The sequence below is a fragment of the Homo sapiens genome, chromosome 1 (genome assembly GCF_000001405.40).
Source record: "Homo sapiens chromosome 1, GRCh38.p14 Primary Assembly".
In the NCBI taxonomy this organism is placed as follows: domain Eukaryota; kingdom Metazoa; phylum Chordata; class Mammalia; order Primates; family Hominidae; genus Homo; species Homo sapiens.
This window is the reverse complement of record NC_000001.11, coordinates 35896004-35917590: the sequence shown is the minus strand read 5'-3', so window position 1 is coordinate 35917590 and position 21587 is coordinate 35896004. Positions and strand designations below refer to the sequence as shown.

Sequence of the window (21587 nt, the reverse complement as noted above, 5' to 3'; positions counted from 1 at the left end):
AGGCACAAAAAAATGGGGAGGGAAACAAAGAAATACACAGTTCCTCTTGAGTTCACATACCCTTCTGAACTAAGGAGTTGCCACTTGTAATATAACTTTTGGCTCAGTCTCCCTTTATATGCTGATGCTCAACAATTAGAGATGACAGGCCCTTCTTGTCAAAAGCAGCCTTATGCTCAGTTCACTTAATATGCTCCTATAAAACCTTGGCCAGGAGGCTTGGCATCAGAAGACAACACTCATCTGGTTCCTGTGTATAAAGAGACCTAATACCAAGACACAGAACCAAGGTTCACAGAGAAATCACTAAAATCACAATGCCCAAAGTTAGTTTCACACAGGATCAGGTGACTAATGAGAGTTCTCCTTTGGGCTCCAAGAGCAGACAGGTTGTGGACCACCAGAGAAGAGCAGACATATAGTTCCATAATGGGTGCAGAGAGAGTAGGTGAATTCAGTCCTGCAAAGCAGCAGGATTATAAGAAAACAGGCTAGCTAAGGGAAAAGCTAGAAGTAAATAATCATAGGCAATAGTTGCCTGTGGCCGTGGATGTCAGATACAGAGGGTCAAAACTGTATGGTAGAGAAGGATAGACTTTGGAATCAATTAGATTTAAATCCAAGCTTTATCTAGTTGTATTACATCAGGCAAGTTATTCAACTCCACTAAGTCTCATTTTCTCCACGTCTGTTAATGTTACTAAGACCTGCTTCACAAAGCTATTAAGAAGACTACGATAGACAATTAAGTAAAAGCATAGAAAACCTAGTAGGGCTTAATAACTACTGATTGCTTTGCTAAGCAGTTTGAATTTTAACTCAAAGCTATGTGAAGCCACTAGACATTTCTGAACAGATATGTGATATGATAAATGTGTCTGTTATTTTAGAAAATACTGGATGACTTAGAAATTGGGCATAATGGCCGGGCACGGTGGCTCACGCCTGTATTTCCAGCACTTTGGGAGGCCAAGGCGGGTGGATCATTTGAGGTCAGGAGTTTGAGACCAGCCTGGCCGACATAGTGAAACCCCATCTCTACTAAAAATACAAAAATAAGCTGGGTGTGGTGACTCATACCTATAGCCCCAGCTACTTGGGAGGCTGAGGAAAGAGAATCGCTTGAGCCCGGGAGGCAGAAGCTGCAGTGAGCTAAGATCACACCACTGCGCTCCACCCTGGGCAAGAGCGAGACTCTGTTCCCCCCAAAAAAAAGAAAAAAAGAAACTGGGCATAACAGTTAAGAGCATAAACTATGGAATCAGACCAATGTGTCTGAATCCCGGTTCCACTCCTAATTATCTTTGATGACATTAAAGATCATGTAACATTTCCAAGCCTGTTTTCTCATCTGTTAAATGGAAATACACTATTATTCCAAAGGACTATTGTAAAGCATTAAATAGAACATATGTTTCCACTCAGATTTAGGGAAAAAAAAAAGAAAGTGAAGTGCTTAGGACAGTTCATGGCACATAGGAAGTTCATTGGAACAGTAGTTATAATACTATTAAATGGTAGTCAAGGATACCAGTTCAGGATAGAAGTTAAAAAAAAAAAATGAAGGCTGGCAGTGAGAATGAATAGGAGGAATATTATGAAGGAGGGTCAACAGCATTAGTCCTCAAATGTAGTCTCCAGACTATCAGCATCGCCTAAGAACTTGTCAGTATTGTAAATTCTTGGCCCTCATCCAAGACTCACTGAATCAGAAACTCTAAGGGTAGAGCCCTTAAAACTGTTTTAACAAGCCCTCCAGGCGATCTTAATGTAAGCTAGCATTTGAGAATCACTGGTCTAAACAATCAGTCTCCAACATGAACCAACTACTTAAATAGGCAGTGAGGGTCTTCTATTATGAGAAGAAAAATCTACAGATGCTTGTACACTCCATCCCTCAGTTGCGATCCTTGCCCCCAAGTCTACTCCATTTAGCAAAGCTCACTAAGAAGTGACACACCTCTCAGTGCCAATAGCTTAGAAAAGGTAGTAGCACCTAGCTTTCCAGCCATGATGTGAAGGTTTTCTCCACCTACTGTGGGCCCTACCTGGGGTAGCTGGCCTTCAGGCACCCCATCTCGGTAGAAGATGATGCGGGTAGGCTTGAAACGGGTGGACTTGTAGAATTGGATGAGGAGCTCACGCACCATGTAGGACAAGTCTTCAATGATCTCTTGCCGTGGTCGCTGTACCCGCACAGTAGCACAGTATCGGCTGGGGTGGGCATCCATACTGCCTACCACCTGACAGTCAGAGAGAAAGGATTAGCTCCTAGAACCTTCACCTTCACTGTCAGGCTATGGGTTTGTGGAAAGGCTTCTTAGCAAGAAAACTACAACTGAATGACTAGGGCTTGAGACTCAGTGAGCCCTGGTTTCAATCTCTATTCTATCACACAAGCAGAAGTTACTCAATCTCTCTGATCTTTTTTCCTCTTCTCAGATGGTGATAAGAACACCTGCTTGCAGCGCTACTGGGGTCCATATTAAGCACCTTACACAGGACGTAGCCCACAGTAGGTACTTGATAAACTGATTTCTCTCCCCTTTGCAGAGGAGCATGTGAAGGTTTAGCACTACTAAATCAAACAATGGCCTCATCCAGTCCCAAGTTTATCCTTTTTCCCATTCAAATGCTAATCTACCCAGGAATCATGACCATAGTAACAGTGTTCTTGTGGTTGATGGAAGAAATGCCATTTACAAAGGAGACAGCAGCCAAAGCCTAGGAGGGATGGCCACAAGGAAAACAGGGATAAGCATATTATAGGGTTTCCCTGCACTTACTGAGGTTAAGACCAGTGTGCTTACAGAAATGTGAGGGTTTAGGAAATATAAGTGGGAAAGAAGGTCTAATCCCTAGCAATTTGGAAGCCCCTAAGAGACAAAGAGCAGAAAAGTCAGGAGAGAGATAAGAGAAACATCTAATCTATTATACAGATCGGGGTGAGGATGGGCAGAGCAAAGGATAGTCCTCGCAACTAAGTAACTCCCTTTAAAGGGATTTCAGAGAAGATATAGTCCCTCCCCTACATCCCAAAAGCAGGCATGGGGAAAGAAAGACATTCAAATGCAGAGCAAGAGTGATGCAGAATGAGTCAAGTCTCTGGCTACACTCTCATTACTCTCCCTGAAAAAAGACACCATACAGAGCTACCTTTATGAGATATCAAGGGAATGGGAATTGGGAATAGCGAGCTAAATGGACATCTTATGAAGGCTCAAGAGCCAGAGCTGAGGGAAGGAAATCATGGGCAGTTTTGAGGACTCAGAGCGAAGAGGAGAACCTTATGAGGCAGCTACAGAATATCACTCACTGCTGTGATAGAAGGTTTTTTCCCATCCCCTGCTGGGGGGTGTGTAACATCTGCTCCCAGGAATATCACTGGCTGTTGAAAAACGGCAGAGCTGAGCAAGGAAGAGAAAACAAAATGGTGAGGCGCTGGGTCTTCTCTAGCTGGCACCATCCAGTACCCACTCTGCTCTTCTCCCCCTTATGTCTGATTCAGTCTGCCTGGCCAGGGTCCTATCTCTTCATCAATTCCCAGCATGGTACCTTGACAAGGGCAAGTGGACAACAGAGTTCATACCGCTGGTGTGGGACTAGGATGTTGTTAATGCCACCAAGTTTGACATTGATCTTGAGGCAGAGGTTGGACAGAGTCTGAGGTGAGGTCTTGACCACGTTCTTCACCTGCACACACTGCGTAGCCATTCCCAAGAGTGTATCTCCGACACGTTTCACCTCAGCTAAGGGCAGGGAGAGAAATGATTAGTGCATTCAACAAATATTTACTGAATGCCTACTAGATGCCAGGCAGTGTATGAGGTGCTAGGGAACACAATAATGACAGGAAACACATAAGGTCCTTACTCTCAAAGTGCTTACTAAATAGGGACTAATTTTAAAAATCGTGAAAATTACAACGCTGATAAATGACACAACAGAAAACTTCATGGAACAATAACAGCATAAAATGGGAAATAAAAACCTAGTCAGGAAAGGATTCTTGAGTAGGTAATGATTGAAATGAAATCTGATGACAGCAAAGGACTTAGAGGAGAGGGGGAGTTTGAGAGAGAGCATTCCAGGCAGAGGGAACAACATGCAAAAATGCACCCTGCTAGAAGACAGCAAGATGTGTTTGAGAAACAGAAAGGCCATAGCAGCTAAAAAGAAGAGCAAGGGGAGCATGTTGTAAGGAAAGAATGTGGTCATTAGACTGACCTACCAGAGGAGATAAGGGTAGCCTAGATTAACAAGACCGGTGAACGCCAGGCGCGGTGGCTCACGCCTGTAATCCCAGCACTTTGGGAGGCCGAGGCGGGTGGATCATGAGGTCAGGAGATTGAGATCATCCTGGTTAACATGGTGAAACCCCATCTCTACTAAAAATACAAAAAATTAGCCAGGCATGGTGGCGGGCGCCTGTAGTCCCAGCTACTTGGGAGGCTGAGGCAGGAGAATGGCGTGAACCCGGGAGGTGGAGCTTGTAGTGAGCCGAGATTGTGCCACTGCACTCCAGCCTGGGCGACAGAGTGAGACTCCATATCCAGAAGAAAAAAAAAAAAAGATGGGTGAGTTGTTGAGACGGAGAAAAACAAATGGATTCCACAGATATTTAAGGGACTCAAGTTATAGACTACATGTGTGAGTAAGGGAAAAGAAAATTTTTATGGATAACTTTTAAGTTTCCAGCTTCTGTAATAAAAATAGGCCAGCCGGGCACGGTGGCTTACGCCTGTAATCCCAGCACTTTGGGAGGCTCAGGTGGGTGGATCACGAGGTCAGGAGTTCAAGAACAGCCTGGCCAACATGGTGAAACCCCGTATCTACTAAAAATACAAAAATTAGCTGGGTGTGGTGGCATGTGCCTGTAATCCCAGCTACTTGGGAGGCTGAGGCAGGAGAATCACTTGAACCTGGGAGGCAGAGGTTACAGTGAGACGAGATCACACCCACTGCACTACAGCCTGGGTGACAGAGCAAGACTCCGTCTCAGAAAAATAAATAAAAAAATAAAATAAAATAAAAATAGGCCATAAATTATTTGTGAGACATTTTGAGTCTGAAGTAGTTTTTTGGTCATCTCAGTGAGGATATCAACTAAGCAAATGGGCCTCATGGTTCGATGCTCAAAAGAGTAGTCTGAAATGGAGATGCAAATTTGTGTGATAATTAGGTACAGGTAGTAGTTGAAGGCATGCTTTTTTTTTTTTTTTTTTTTTTTCTGAGACAGAGTCTCGCTCTGTCTCCCAGGCTGGAGTGCAGTGGCACGATCTCGGCTCACTGCAAGCTCCGCCTCCCGGGTTCACACCATTCTCCTGCCTCAGCCTCCTGAGTAGCTGGGACTACAGGTGCCCGCCACCATGTCCGGTTAATTTTTTGTATGTTTTTAGTAGAGATGGGGTTTCACCATGTTAGCCAGGATGGTCTCGATCTCCTGACCTCATGATCCGCCTGCCTCGGCCTCCCAAAGTGCTGGGATTACACGCGTGAGCCACCGCGCCCGGCCGAAGGCATGATCTTGAGATCACTAAGGAAGATAACATAGTAAAAAGAGAAGACAACCTAGATCTGAATCTTGAGGAACTCCCAGTATTGGCAGAACAAGAAGATGAGTCAGCAAAGGACAAAAAAATCCAGAAAGCTAGAAGGAAGACTAAGATAGTGTTGTATCACGAGTGCCAAGGGAAGAAAGAGAGTGTTTCAAGAAGGAGCAAGTGGTCAACAAAGTGAAATGTGTCTAAGAGATGAGGTAAAATCAGGACCAGAAATGTCCTCTGGAGTTAGTGATATTAAGATTAAAAAAAAATTAGTGTATAGAGGCAAAAATTGTTGTGGTGATTTAAGGTACCAGGAAGAAAATGTAGGACTGACCAAGAATTTGGTATGCTTTCAATGGAAGAGATTTGAGCATGTTTAAAAAGATCATATCTACTTCCAAGAGAGATGGAATAGCGGCAAGCCAGTTCTACAGACAACACTCAGAAAAGCCAGATAAAATATAAAAATCATCTTTTTAAAGGCAGCAGAGAATGCTAAGAAAACAAGAACTAGAGGGGGTAAAATTCCAGAGAGGGAGAAAAAAAAAAATCTCAGAGGTGAGCTATCTTCTGCAGTTGCTTTTACCCTGGGTACATTTGTTGAATCTAGGTGTGGGTAGGAAGCTAAGAGTCTAAGCTCTGCACCACTGCCATGGAAAAGAAAAGCAACAGTTTTTGCTCTGTTTAGAGATAAATTAATTCTAAATATGAATGATTTTTTAAAATCATTCAAAAAAACACTTCAAATAGTATCTTCATGACCCTGGGATTCTTTTTCATTTTTCTTTTTCTTGAGACGGATACCAAGTTTGATAAGGATATGAACTATCTAGCACTCTTATACACTGCTGGTGAAAGGATAAATTGGTATACTTAAAATCCACTCCTAGATATACTCCCAAGAAAAATGGTTATACATGTTCAAAGGACACAAAGAAGAGTGTTCACTGAAGCATTATTATTATTTTTTTTTTCTTTTGAGACAGAGTCTTCCTCTGTTGCCCAGGCTGGAGTGCAGTGGCACGATCTTGGCTCACTGCAACCTCCATCTCCTGGGTTCAAGCAATTCTCCGGCCTCAGCCTCCCGAGTAGCTGGGATTACAGGCGCCCGCCACCACACCTGGCTAATTTTTTGTATTTTTAGTAGAGACTGGGTTTCACCATGTTGGCCAGGCTGGTATCAAACTCCTCAACTCAGGTGATCCACTTGCCTTGGCCTCCCAAAGTGCTAGGTTTACAGGCACGAGTCACTGCACCCAGCCTGAAGCATTATTTTCAACAGTCAAAAACTGGAAACAATCCAAATATGTGTATTAACAGAATGGATAGATGGAAATGGTGTTATATTCATATGATGGAAAAACTATAACAAACCACAACTTTATGTTGCATGAAAGAAGTCAGAAACAAAAAAAGTATATACTATATGATTCTATTTATATAAAGTTTAAATATAGGCAAAACTAACTTATGGTATTAGAAGCCAGAATAGTGGTTACCACTGGTAGGAGGTTGTAGTGACTGGGGCTGTGGTAAGGTTCTGCTGCTGAACTGGGTGCTGGTTACGCTGTGACACTTTATGAAATATCACTGAGCTAAACATGTAAGATTTCTATATATACAATTTAATAAAAAGTTTACATTAAAAAAACAATAATATCAGTTTAGTGGAGAGGAAGCAATTAAATATACTAAAGACAAGATAGGTATAGTACCTGATCAGAACAGGGCAAATGTGACACTGTCCTTCTACGCTCTCAGGGCAACCAAAAGCCAATGGGACCTTGCTTTGACCATCACTAGGAGGATGCCATTTTACCCAGCCTCCCAGGAGGGATGGTGAAGGGTCTTTAGAAGAATCTGACTGGTACTCTTTTCTGCTGGCTTAGTTCCTAGGCAAATGACTCCATTGCCTAGGAACTAAGCCAGCAGAAAAGAGTACCAGTCAGATTGTCCAGGTGGTATAATCAAGGAACCGCATGTAAATGAAAGAAACTCGAAGTCCCAATAAAATATTTGAGGCTAGAGAGAAGTGTAACATAATTGAGCCCAGGAAAGGGAAAATTCTGAGTAAGTACTGCCTTTCCGAAGCATGCTGTACCATTCCCAAGCCAAAACATTGGATTTTCCCTTTAATGGAGGGAAATCAGAAACATGAATACTTATTCAAGGAAGTTCTCCTAAAAAGCATCCTTATCCATACAAGGGTCCAAGAAAGACAAGGACTGAAGATCAAACAACTTCTCTCCATAAGTTAATTACTGAGTATTGTATCAGTGAAAGGCATTACCTTAGGTGTGTATATAGAGAGGAAAGATTTCAGAGCAGAATCAGATCCACTCCACAACAAAGTATCAAGTAAGGTAGTAACTGATCAGTGGCCTGATAAACTAGAGGAATCCAGAAAAAGACAAGTTCACTCTCCAGGTGAAATGTCAAGAATAAAAAATAAGTAGTATTTAAACTGGGTATTAAAGGATGGAGAGAATTTTAAGTGCAAGGTGGGGGACAAGAAGAAGAGGATGCAGATACTCCGGGCAAAGGCAAATGATGTGTACAACACCAGAGACTGAAAACCACAGACAAGAAATGAGCACTCAGAGTGTCAGCTACATGCCAGGCACTGTGCTAGATTCTGCTTTTTATATAATTAATTCATGATGCTTAGAAAGGTTAGATATGTGTCCAAGCCAGTTGACTGGTATAGCCAGGATTAAATTCAAATTCAGCTCTCTTCAACAATTCCAGAACCAGCAATCATTCCAGTATGAGTGGCAAGTGAACAGTGCAAGATAAAGCTGAAAACATTAAACTAAAATCAGGTCCATGAAAACCCTTCATGCAGTGAATAATAGGAATCAATGAAGGTTTTTTTGATATTAGAGTCACAAGAAGTCTTTCTTGGAACCCATTCAAGAAAGTCTTAAGGCAGGGCACAGTGGCTCATGCCTGTAATCCCAGCACTTTGGGAGGCCGAGGCGGGCAGATCACTTGAGGTCAGGAGTTTGAGACCAGCCTGGCCAACATGGCGAAACTCCATCTGTACTAAAAATATAAAAATTAGCGAGGCATGGTAGTGCGCACCGTAATCCCAGCTACTTTCAAGGCTGAGGCACGAGAATCACTTGAACCTGGGAGGTGGAGGTTGCGGTGAGCTGAGATCACGCCACTGCACTCCAGCCTGGGCAACAGAGCAAGACTCCGTCTCAAAAAAAAAAAAAAAAAAAAGGAAGGTTAGAACTCAGTTGAGAAGTGTGGATCAAGAGCAGGGCATATTATCTTGAGAAAAATTTGAAGAAGAACAATGAAGGTGAAGCGAAAAGACAAGACTGTCTCCGAAGTTTGAATGAAGGTACTTAGAAGCAACTGTGATGTCAAATACAGAAGTAGTAAAGACAAAGGTTTGTAGAGAGGACAAACTACTGAAGAGATGGTCCAACAAAACACTTTCTAAGAGCAGAGACTATATCTGTTTTATTCATCAATATATCCAGATGTTGGACAGTGTTCCATACATAATAGGTGATCAATAAACTCTTGAAGAGAGGGAGAGAGGCCAAAGGGACAGACCAAAGCTGCAGAGGGTTCAAGGATTGAATCAAGATTTTAATCACATATAATAGCAATAGGTGATGATTGAAGCAACTGAAATGAATGGGAATTTTAATAAAATGTAAAGGCAGAATGAGAAGGCAGACAATAGGAACCTGTAGAATACCAAGGATTCCTGGTAATGACAAAAATAATAAGGAGAGATAGAAGAAAATATCCAGAAGTCAAGAGGACAACTGAGAAAAGTCATTGGCAATCCTGTGCAGAGGAGATTTAGGAGAAAGGTAGACAGAAGGCAAGGTGGCTGAAAGAGGCTAAAGAATAAGTGGCTGGTGAGGTATAGGGCATAGAGAATATAGAGAACTCATTCAAAAAGTTTTTTTTGTTTTGTTTTGAGACAAGGTCTCACTATGTTACCCAAGCTGGGTAACTGCAGCCTCAACCTCTTGGGCTCAAGAAATCCTTTAGCCTCAGACTCCCAAGTAGCTGGGACCACAGGTGCACAAGATGACTGGGTAACTTTATTTTTTTGTAGAGATGAGGTCTTGCTTTGTTGCCCAGACTAGCCTCGAATTTCTGGGCACAAGCGATCCTCCCACCTTGGCATTCCAAAGTGCTGGGATTACAGGTGTGAACCACTGTACCAGGCCTCAGAAGGTTTAATGAAGGAAATAGGAAGACAAAAGCTAAAAGAGATGGTAAGATTGTGGTAATGTGCATTAGGATGGGGGATCTGAATATATTTGAGGGTTGAAAGGTATAAAGTCCCAAAGGTAGCAGGATGGGTTGGGAATAAGAGCACAGAGGAGTTAGTTGAACAAGGTAAGAAAAACTCTTATTGCTTTGAAGCAGGAGAGATGGAGACGGAAAATGGCATAAAAGAAAAGTGCTGTGACAGAAATTTATATAATCATTCTTATTCTAAAAAATGAGAGGAAAAGAGGAGAGATAGCAAGCCTCTCAAAAAGTCCAAGTAATTACCAGGCAACACGATACTAACAGGACCACCTATTCTGCTTGGTTGTGCTGCACGATGTTCAGATAAACAATGCACTCCTGAGGACAGGAACGCACTCCTAAGGACAGGAATCTAGACCAACCCGTCTCTGTACCTGGCCCAGCATAGCCTGGCATGAGGACCAGCACACAAAGGACCCCAGTAAATGTTGCTGGGAAGGAGTGTGTGCAGGTAATTAGGATCTGGGATAACTCAATGGCTCAGGCATGCTATTTCTCCTATAAGAGGAGCACTGACATTAAGTAACAGCTCTGGTCAAAGCCAAGAATCCAGACTGAGTCCTTCCCAGGAGACCCCAGGGAACTACGCTGAGAAGAGTCCTATCACCATTATCACTGTCCCAAGAGAACTGTACCATACACCGGCGTCTTCCCTGGCAGGATGACAATAATGAGCTGCAGCCCTGAGTAGGTGTTCTTGAGATGCCGGAACATAGGCTCCACGCTGTCTGCCCCCTGTGCATATTTGCAGAAACAAGGTTGACCCTGGATAGGCATCCCCGCATCCTTGGAAATCTTCCGCAGCTGGTCTGTGAAGTTCCTGTACACACGCATGGTCACAAAGGAGGCAGTGAGTCTCACTTGAATTCTTCTGACAAAAATCCATCCATCTTAGGTGCTTAGCACTATAAGAGGCACTGAGAGATTGGTTTTTTTTTTTTTTTTTCCTTGAGACAGGGTGCTCTGTCAACCAGGATGGAGTACAATGGCACAATCTGGGCTCACTCAAGCCTCGAGCTGCTAGGCTAAAACAATCATCCCATCTCAGCCTCCTGAGTAGGTAGGACTAGAGGAATGCCACCATGCCTGGCTAATTTTTTTTCTTTTTGGTAGAGATGGGATCTCACTATGTTGCCCAAGCTGGTCTCAAGTTCCTGGACTCAAGTGATCCTCCCACCTCAGCCTCCCAAAGTGCTGGAATTACAGGCATGAGCCACCGCACCCAGCTAACACTGAGATTCTAACATGAATGATACACAATAATAGCTAATGTAAAAAATATGTTTATAGTTGAGTAAGGTAAGAGAGTACTTGCTAAGTGTTCGATGGTACAAGCAAGGAGACGAGGAAGCCCAGAAAAGGGACCCATGGGAATTCTCAGGGTTCCCACCTTGCCCCGCTCAAGCAGCTGATTCCTGTGCTTCATTACATGTCCAAAGAAATAGGCAGATGCCCACGTGTAAGGCCTTTCTGCTCAAAGCAAATGAGGTTCCAACAGTGATGGGAGCACAAGAGATGCTCAGTAAAAATGAGTTCCCTCCTTCCCAACTGGTTCTTTGAAACCTAAGAGCCAATTATTAAGCTTCCTTTGGCTTTAGGGCTTTACCCTGGAAAGGAAGACAAAGTTGCAAGAGAGGACACACATGCAGTAGAGTAAAAAAATCAAGCTACATAAAGATACTCAAAAACTGAAATAAGCAGCAGGAAATTTAATTTGTGATAATCTTCCATTTAAATTTAAAAACAATGTACAAGAAGAGAATGGAAGCAGCTGTTTAGGAGATGTTATTATTATATAGCATACAAAAAGCAATGTGATAGTTTTATGAGAAAGTATTTTTTCACATATTTAGTAAAAACACACAAGAAAAGAAACAGTCTGATACTATTATGCAAAATTTAAAATCATTTATATATAGGTATATAAATTGAGTAGCCTGGTTACAATAATTCATAACAGTGGCCTCATCAGAAGGGAGGAATAGGGCTGGTGCAGTGGCTCACACCTGTAATCTCAGCACTTTGGGAGGCCAGGGTGGGCGGATCACTTGAGGCCAGGACTTCGAGACCAGCCTGGCCAACCTGATGAAACCCTGTCTCTACTAAAAATACAAAAAAAACCTAGCCGGGCATGGTGGTGAGTGCCTGTAATCCCAGCTACTCAGGAGGCTGAGGCAGGAGAATCACATGAAACAGGAGGCAGAGGCTGCAGTGAGCCGAGATTGCGCCACTGCACTCCAGCCTGGGCAAGAGCGAGGCTGTCAAAAAAAGAAGGGAGGAATGGGACTAGGGTGGAGGACATGAAGGAGCATCAAATTTATCTGTAATATTTACATTTAAAAAAGGATAAAGTAAATATGACAAAAATGGATACATGTTATTCTCTACATTTATTATCTTAAAAAAATTTTTCAAAATGAATGTTAGAATAAAAAAACACGACCTAACCACTGTTTCATGTAAATAACAGCTAGGGCTTTGACCATTAATAGTATGTTTTCCATTTCTCTGCCCTGTATACAACTGCAATGTAGCTATTAAAAAGCCAGTATGTTACCAGATTTCATGAATAGTGGGTCTCAACTTCAAGGAAAGACGTTATTTCCAATCTTCTCTCTACTACCAGACTACACTTGGAATACTGTGTCCAATGCTGGGGGCCACAAAGTATTGTGAGATGTTTAAGATGAGGAAGGTCCTAAAATCCCATCTTAAAGGTGATATAGCTAAAGTAATAGGGCCTCTTTAGCCAGAAAAAAATTGAGGGTTGCGTCTAGAACTCTCTCATCCATCATCCCCCAACTACTAGTTTGTCAAACCCCATAGCACCTTCATGTTTTCCCCCACTTTCTCAGTGGAAAGGATGCCCTTTCTCAGTGCCCTGGATCCCATCACCTCATCCACACTTAGGGACTTTGCTCTATTTATTTTCCAGTTTCTCTGAGTTATATCTTCAATCTCTGCTTACTATGTACATTCTCCCTGGACAATCTCAGCCACTGCTATAGATGACTTGGAAATATTTACCTTTAGCCCAGTCAGAACCACAGATTTAACTGGCTACTACTGACCCAGATGCATAAGCCACATTCTTACCCCTTACAACTAGGTGTCACTGATAAACTCTTCCAAGTTTGAGTTTCTGGGTTTACTGGTGCCCATACCCCAAATGGCCAAAACAATAGATCATCCCAAAAGAAATGGACAAGGGAAGGACATGGGAGAAAGACAAGAGCACATAGAGAATAGAACTACAATGAAGTGACTATGGCACAAAGGCAAAAAGCTGGGAGCCTTTCCAATGTTGCCAAGCAGCCTGGCTTAAATGGGGGCTAAAGAACTCAGAAAAAGGCCAGGCACGATGGCTCACGCCTGTGATCCCAGTACTTTGGAAGGCCGAGGCGGGTGGATCATGAGGTCAGGAGATCGAGACCATCCTGGTTAACATGGTGAAACCCCATCTCTACTAAAAATACAAAAAATTGGCCAGGCGTGGTGGCGGGTGCCTGTGGTCCCAGCTGCTTGGGAGGCTGAGGCAGGAGACTGGCGTGAACCCGGAAGGCGGAGCTTGCAGTGAGCCGAGATGGCGCCACTGCACCTGGACGACAGAGAGAGACTCCGCCTCAAAAAAAAAAAAAAAAAAAAAGAGCTCAGGAAAGGAGACAAGAACCCATTTGCAAGAACTACAATTATGATGGTGTTTGTGTATCTGTGAGGGGTAAGGGAAGAAGAGCAAGGGCAGGTCCCATAGTCTCCAGATCCATCAGGAGCTGTTAGAACTTTTTTTTTTTTTGAGATGGAGTCTCGCTTTGTTACCACGTTGGAGGGCAGTGGCACAACCTTAGCTCACTGCAACCTCTGCCTCCCGGGTTCAAGCGATTCTCCTGCCTTAGCCTCCTGAGCAGCTGGGACTACAGGCACGCGCCACCACGCCCGGCTAATTTTTGTATTTTTAGTAGAGACGGAGTTTCACCATATTGGCCAGGCTGGTCTCAAACTACTGACCTTGTGATCCGCCCGCCTCAGCCTCCCAAAGTGCTGGGTTTACAGGCAGGAGCCACCATGCCCAGCCTAGAACTTATAGGATCTATATTGCCCAGAAAACTCCTGGGCTCAAGTGATCCTCCTGCCTCAGCCTCCTGAGTAGCCAGGACTACAGGCACGCACCACTGCACCCCAGCTAAGAACGAATTCTCATGATGACTCCAAGGTCAGCTGAATTCGTCATGGCATACTTCCCCACTACCCTTGTCTAGCCAAAATGGTCGGCTCCATCAACTCCTCCTCATCCCTAGAGTGCATTGACCCCACTCCAGATTCAGAGAATATGAAAAGCAACCACTTCGAAAGATGGCAGTAACCAACTAACTGTATGTTGTATCTATGAAACAACTAACTGAGTTTTGTGGCATTTTAAACCTATCTCAATAAAACTTAAAAAAAAAAAAAGGCCGGGCACAGTGGCTCATGCCTATAATCCCAGCACTTTGGGAGACCGAAGCAGGAGGATCACGAGGTCAGGAAATCGAGATCATCCTGGCTAACACACTGAAACCCCATCTCTACTAAAAATACAAAAAATTAGCTGGGCGTGGTGGCGGGCGCCTGTGGTCCCAGCTACTCGGGAGGCTGAGGCAGGAGAATGGCGTGAAACCCGGGAGGTGGAGCTTGCAGTGAGCCAAGATCGTGCCACTGCACTCCAGCATGGGTGACAGAGCAAGACTCTGTCTTAAAAAAAAAAAAAAAAAAAAAAAAGACTCCAGGTGAGGGGTTGTTGACTTCTTAAGCCATTACTGCCTGGTTTCTTTAAACCATTTGGCTATAACACTTTCCTCATTGGTGCCATCTACTCCCAGCTACGGTGGCACAGAGGCCCTGACAACCAGCTAAACAAGCTGCTCTATTTTGTTTCCAATTAGGAACACAAGTCTTGAAGCTCAGATCTGATTTGCTTCCAACTCTGACACTTTCCTGATGATGTGCAAACTTTGGACAAGTTACTTAACCTCTTTTGAGCCTCAGTCTCCTGAAAATGGACATATCACCACCTACTCACTGTAAAGATGAAATAAGAGAATATAAATTAGGTACTTAAGTATAATTTTGGCGTAAACATTACAGTCATCACTACTACTATTTATTACCAATGATAATAATTATAACAATAATTCAGGCCTCTCTCAGGAGATTCATGCCCTAAAATCATCATCTTTGACATAGATATGGCTCCTTATTAACTTCCCCTGATCACAGATGGATAGAAAAAGAATTGGTAGAAGTTTGAGCCAGAAAGCACAATGCAGGCAGAGTCAAGACAGAACACATTACTGATCAATATCAGCCCCTGTGGACTACAGGAAGGCAGGCAGCTCCAGGGTCCTTCCCACCCTTCCACCCCTACAGCGAACCCTCCTTACTTGAGCACCTCTTCTCGACACTGTTTTTGGGGTGCGAAGCAGGCGATGGCCCAGACTTTGATCTCAATCCCATTGTAGAACTGTTTCCCCCGCATGTCCCAGACACCCTGATTGGGTGTGGCAATGGCCCGGTTCTGGGGATAGGTAGAGGGGGCGCCTAGGTGAGCCTCAGTAGAGTCAGGTGGGTAGGGGAGCAAAAGCCCCTGGCTATACAACCCAACCACCCCCATATGCCCCGAGATGTTGTCTGGCCCTGACCCTGCTCACCCGGCCGCCGTACTGCAAGATGGGCGCCGGCAGCACTCGCCCTGTCACCTCCGTCATGTCATCCTTCACTTTGATCCCAAATTCCTGGATGTAGGGATCTAAGTTGTAGCTGGCATTCTTCATCTGCAGGACAAAAGAGAGCAATCTCAGGAGAACAGGAGCTTGGCAATACTGCTCACCCTCTGGGTATCAAGGAGAGAACCCTAAGGAGAAGCTGGGGTTGGTACGGAATAGTCCTAAAAAGAGAGAGAAAGTGGAAGATGAGGGAAGTGAGGGAATAACACAGCAAAGTAATACAGGAGAGAAAAAGAGACAGAAAGCAAAGTAGCTATACGGTCAAGAAGCAAAAGCAGCCTTATACAGTCCTAGGCAACAAATCTAGACTTGGGTTCTCCTGAAGGAAGGTCCTGCTGGGGCATTAAAACATTTATGCTACCAATGGCCCCAATGACTGAGCAAATGAGTAGGCCCACTGACCAGGCGACTGATCTCCTCCTGTCTGTCTGGAGCGGATCTAGCTGTGGCCTTTATCATGGTCGAGGTCTGGTTGTCGGTCAGCTTTTTAATACAGCGCTGCCCAGCCACAATGTTACAGACCTGAGGAAACAAGAAGGACAGGTAGCTCTGGCTTGAGTACAGTCCACCCTGTACCCAGAGCCCCACAATAAGGAAAGATACCTTGGCTGTCAGCCATGGGGAAGGGAACTGCAAAATCCGTTGTGCATACATGTATTCTCCTCCTGAGTATCATTTGATAGGTAAATTAGAAAATATTCGTGTGCATTGTAAAAGGCGATTCAGGCCGGGCATGGTGGCTCATGCCTGCAATCCCAGCACCTTAGGAGGCCAAGGCGGCCAGATCACTTGAGGTCAGGAGTTCAAGACCAGCCTGGCCAACCCAGTCTCTACTAAAAATACAAAAATTAGCCAGGCATGGTGGCGTGCGCCTGTAATCCCAGCTACTCAGGAGGCTGAGGAACAAGAATCGCTTGAACCGGGAGGCGGAGGTTGCAGTGAGCCCAGATCACGCCACTGAACGCCAGCCTGGGTGACAGAGTGAGACCCTGTCTCAAAAAAAAAAAAAAAAGGGCAATTCAACCGCTTGTGATCCAGAGCCAGATCTGGGCTCAGGTCTCATATTTTATTTATTTATTTATTTTTTTGAGATAGAGTCTCGCTCTGTTACCCAGGCTGGAGTGCAGTGGCACAATCTCGGCTCAGAGACATCTGCCTCCCGGGTTTAAGCAATTCTCCTGCCTTAGCCTCCCAAGTAGCTGGGATTACAGGCACCCGCCACCATGCCTCGCTAATTTTTGTACTTATGTATTTATTTGTTTATTTTTGAGAGGGAGTTTTGCTCTTCTTGCCCAGGCTGAAGTGCAATGGCACGATCTCGGCTTACTGCAACCTTCACCTCCCAGGTTCAAGCGATTCTCCTGCCTCAGCGTTCCAAGTAGCTGGGATTACAGTCATGTGCTACCATGCCCGGCTAATTTTGTATTTTTAATAGAGATGGGGTTTTGCCATGTTGGCCAGGCTGGTCTTGAACTCCTGACCTCAGGTGATCCACCCACCTCCGCCTCCCAAAGTGCTGGGATTACAGGAGTGAGCCACCATGCCTGACCTTCATATTTTAAGGAAGGATAATAGTAACAATCTAAGAGTTGCCTCAAGATTAAATAAAGCACTTAAAGGACTGAGTATAGTTCTGGAACACAGTAAACAATAAATTGTAGCACAGATTATTATTTACCAAAGGACCATATATAGAGCTCTTCTGAATACTGAACAACTCAATATACACAAATTAGATTTCTAAGGCAGCTGTCCAATGGTGACAGGTTGCTCCATCCTGCAACCCACCAGGACTAGGGTTGGTTCTAAACTCCTGAGCCCCCAGCCTACAGCTATCACTGTCTCTGTTGGCTGACAGTGTCCTCTGCTGGTGTGAGAAACATCCTGCCATTTACTTCATCTGTTCTGGGCCCAACAGAAAACAACAGAGATCATAAAAAGCTGTCTAGTGACATACAAGACTTCCACTCCCCAATATACTATATTCAGGATGCTGTGAACAGAAAGGCTTCTAGAATTGAGAGAGCCAGTAGGTCTGGAAATACTTCTGTTTGAAGTCCAGCTTTGCCATTTCTAGGTGATGTTACCTTAAACAGGACTCTTAACCACTCTGAGAATCTTCTTCTTTAATCTCAAACATGAGAAAAAAAAATACACTAGCTGTCTCATGAGTTTGTTGTAAGGATTTAGATGAGATGAAATGAGGAACTTGCTCCCATAGGGCCAACATTCTTTACATACTAGTTCTCGTCCTAATTCCCAGAGTTCATGGTAAACAATGGGAAGGAAAACCAGCCCAAGGTCACCTGCCTTCAAACTCCATATTCCAGAGAATAAACAAAATAGTCAATTCACGTAATGAAAATCCAAAATTATTGAAATTTGTGAGATTGCTCTCTTAAAGGTGCCTTAAAGTTGTAGCATTCTCTACAGGTGGTTAAAGATACAGAATTAACACTAGCAAAAGACTAAATCAGGGATGTGGTGAAATTAGAATACTTGTACAACGCCAGTGGGAATATAAAATGGTATGGCAATTTCTCAAAAAATTAACCACAGAATTACCATATAAACCAGCAATTCTGCTTCTGGGTATGTACTCAAAAAAAATGAAAACAGGAACTTCAACAAATATTTTTACATCTCTGTTCACAGCAGCATTATTCACAATAACCAAAAGGAAGAAGCAACCCAAGTATCCATGGATAGATGAATGAATAAACAAAACATGATATATACATACAACGGACTATTATTCAGCCTTAAAAAAGAAGGGAATCCTAACATGCTACAACACGGATGAACCTTGAAGACATTGTGTTAAGTGAAATATGCCAGTCAAAAGAGGACAAATACTATGATTCCACTTATTTGAGGTACTTACAGTGGTCAAATTCATAAAGACAGAAAGTAGAATGGTGGTTGCTAGGGGTTAAAAGGAGGGAGTTGCCATTTAATGGGTATAGAGTTTCAGTGTGGAATGATGAAAAAGTTCTGGAGATTGGTCATGGTGATGGTTGTACAACTGCATGAATGTATTTAATGCCACAGAACTGTATACTTAAAAATGGTTAAAATGGTAAATTTTACATTATGTATATTTTACCACAATTTGAAAAAGACGGAAGAAGGAATGAACTGTGATTTGAACATGAATAAATGATTTTGTGGACACTCAATGACCTACATAACTATTCAAGGAAGACACAGAGGTGGACTGGAGGCACTACTTCTAGTTTCTAATTGAATCTTCACAACTAGAAACTAGAACAATAATCCACATTGTTCTTCTACTTAAAATTTTCCAATGGATTCATATTATAATTAGAATAAAATCCTACCTGGCCAGAAATTACAACTGTCATTCTTTGCTGATGGGATTGTAAAATATCATAGCTACTTTGGGAAACAATCAGGCAGCTCATCACGATGTTAAACATTGGCCAGGTGCAATGGCTCACGCCTGTAATCCCAGCAATTTGGGAGGCTGAGGCGGGCGGATCATGAGTCAGGAGATCGAGACCATTCTGGCTAACACCGTGAAACCCCATCTCTACTAAAAATACAAAAAATTAGCCAGGCGTGGTGGTCGGCGCCTGCATTCCCAGCTACTCCGGAGGCTGAGGCAGGAGAATGGCGTGAACCCAGGAGGCGGAGCTTGCAGTGAGCCGAGATCGTGCCACTGCACTCCAGCCTGGGTAACAGAGCGATACTCCGTCTCAAAAAAAAAAAAAAGATGTTAAACATTGTTATATATTATATCACTCTTAGGTGTATACTCCAGAGAAATAAAAACTTATGTTCACACAAAAATGTGTACATCAATGTTCACAGCAGCATTATTCATGATACCCAAAAAGTAGAAACAATCCAAATGTCCATTAACTGATAAATGAATTAACAAAATATGACATATCCATCTGATGGAACGAGGATAAACCTTGAAAACATTATGCTAAATGACAGAAGCCAGTCAAAAAAGGCCACATATTGTATTATTTCACATATATGATATGTCCAAAATAGGTATACCCAGAGACTGAAAGTAAATTAGTGGTTACTACAGGCTGTTGGGGAGAGAACGAATGGTGCATAACTGCTAATGAATACAGGCTTTCTTTCAGGAGTGATATGTTCTGGAATCAGATAGTGGTGATGGCTGTTGTACAATTCTGTGAATATACTAAAACTACCTAATCATTTTAAAATGGTGAATTTTATGGTATGTGAATTATATCTCGATAAAGCTGTTTTTTTATTTTTTTTTGAGACAGGGTCTCCCTCTGTTGCCCAGGCTAGAATCCAGCGGCACAATCACAGCTCACTGGGTTCAAGCAATGCTTCCACCTCAGCCTCCCAAGTAGCTGGGACCACACCACACCTGCAGTCAAGCAATCCTCCTGCCTTGACCTCCCAAAGTGCTGGGATTACAGGTATGAGCCACACAGCCAACCTGGATAAAGCTTTTCCAAAAAACAGTAATAAAATGCCACGTGGTTTCAACAGGCTATATTATTTGACCCTCTGCAGAATCATATCCTACTGCTTTTCCCCTCACACAATACATTCTAGCCACCATAGCCTTCTGTCTATCCCTCAAAAAGATCCAAATTCTCTTCTGCTTTAGAACCTTTGTACTTCCTCCTGCCTGGAAGGCTCTTCTCTCAGGTTGTTACAAGGTTGATTCTATGTCATAATTTGGGACTTAGCTCAAATGTCTCCTAAAAGAGGACCTCCCTAACAACTAAAATAGCTCTCTACCCTCTTCCTCCCTTACTTCTATCCCCTTAACCTATTTTATTATTCTTATAGCACTTATCACCATCTGAAACTACTTTACGTGTTTATCAACTTATTGTCTATCTCCCCCTTCTAGAATGTAAGCTCCATAACAGCTGGGACCTTGTCTGTCTTGTTAATCTCCATGTTCCTAGCACCTGAGAGTATATGACACATAGTAGGAGCTCGATAAATATATGTTAAATAAGCAACAACAGAAATCAAGGTCTAAGTCATAACATAAATTATACCCCTTGGAAACTGCTGTTTAAATAGAAATAATGTTAATTTGCTAACAAATCTCTGCTTACAGTAAATATCACCTACTATCTACTTAGCTAAGATTGTCCCTAAAGACCTCTGTTTATACCTCAGAGAACATGTTGCCTTCATGTGCATCAGTAGCTATTAACCAAGTCAGAGTTCTTGGTTTTGGGGATCTCTTCTCCCTTCAGCCTAACTCCCTCAGGTTAGTTCTGAAATCCTAGAAGCTCACCAGAAGACTAGAGCTTTGGTCTGGGCTATCTGACTTCTGCTGTTGGATAAAAGTAAGAGGGTAGGCCAGGCGTGGCAGCTCATGCCCGTAATCCAGCACTTTGGGAGGCCGAGGCAGGCAGATCACTTGAGGCCAGGAGATCAGTGTGGCCAACATGGCAAAACCCCATCTCTACTAAAAATACAAAAAAAACTTATCTGGGCACGGTGGCGCACACCTGTAATCCTAGCTACTGGAGGCTGAGGCATGAGAATTGCTTGAACCTGGGAGGCTGAGGAGGTTACAGTGAGCCGAGATGGTGCCACTGCACTCCAGCGAGACTCTGTCTCAAAAAAACAAAAAAGAAAAAGAGGGTAGTCTAGTACAGTGCTTCTCCAACGTTAATGTACATTCCCTTTGGATCTTGTTAAAGGACAGATTCTGGCTGGGCACGGTGGCTCACACCTGTAATCCCAGCACTTTGGGAGGCCAAGGTGGGCAGATCACCTGAGGTCAGGAGTTCGAGACCAGCCTGACCAACATGGAGAAACCCCGTCTCTACTAAAAATACAAAATTAGCTGGGTGTGGTGGCGCATGCCTGTAATTCCAACTACTCAGGAGGCTGAGGCAGGAGAATCACTTGAACCCGGGAGGCAGAGGTTGCAGTGAGCCAACATCATGCCATTGCACTCCAGCCTGGGCAACAAGAACGAAACTCCATCTCAAAAAAAAAAAAG

General features: G+C 43.4%; 1 protein-coding gene across 4 annotated transcripts in view; it reads right to left on the bottom strand.

The window, feature by feature from the left end:
- AGO1 (argonaute RISC component 1) overlaps positions 1-21587 on the bottom strand; it is a 60772-nt gene that overhangs the window by 12942 nt on the left and 26243 nt on the right. For 3 of the 4 annotated variants that reach the window (NM_001317123.2, NM_012199.5, NM_001317122.2), the window contains exons 9-15: positions 15998-16117; positions 15521-15643; positions 15254-15387; positions 10472-10656; positions 3590-3749; positions 3317-3407; positions 2049-2243 (exon numbers count right to left, since the gene is read on the bottom strand). In NM_001317123.2, coding sequence (NP_001304052.1) covers positions 2049-2243; positions 3317-3407; positions 3590-3749; positions 10472-10656; positions 15254-15387; positions 15521-15643; positions 15998-16117 — 1008 coding nt within the window. Of the gene's footprint in view, positions 1-2048; positions 2244-3316; positions 3408-3589; positions 3750-10471; positions 10657-15253; positions 15388-15511; positions 15644-15997; positions 16118-21587 lie in introns of all 4 variants that reach the window. The other variant, XM_011541236.3, reaches the window with a different exon arrangement.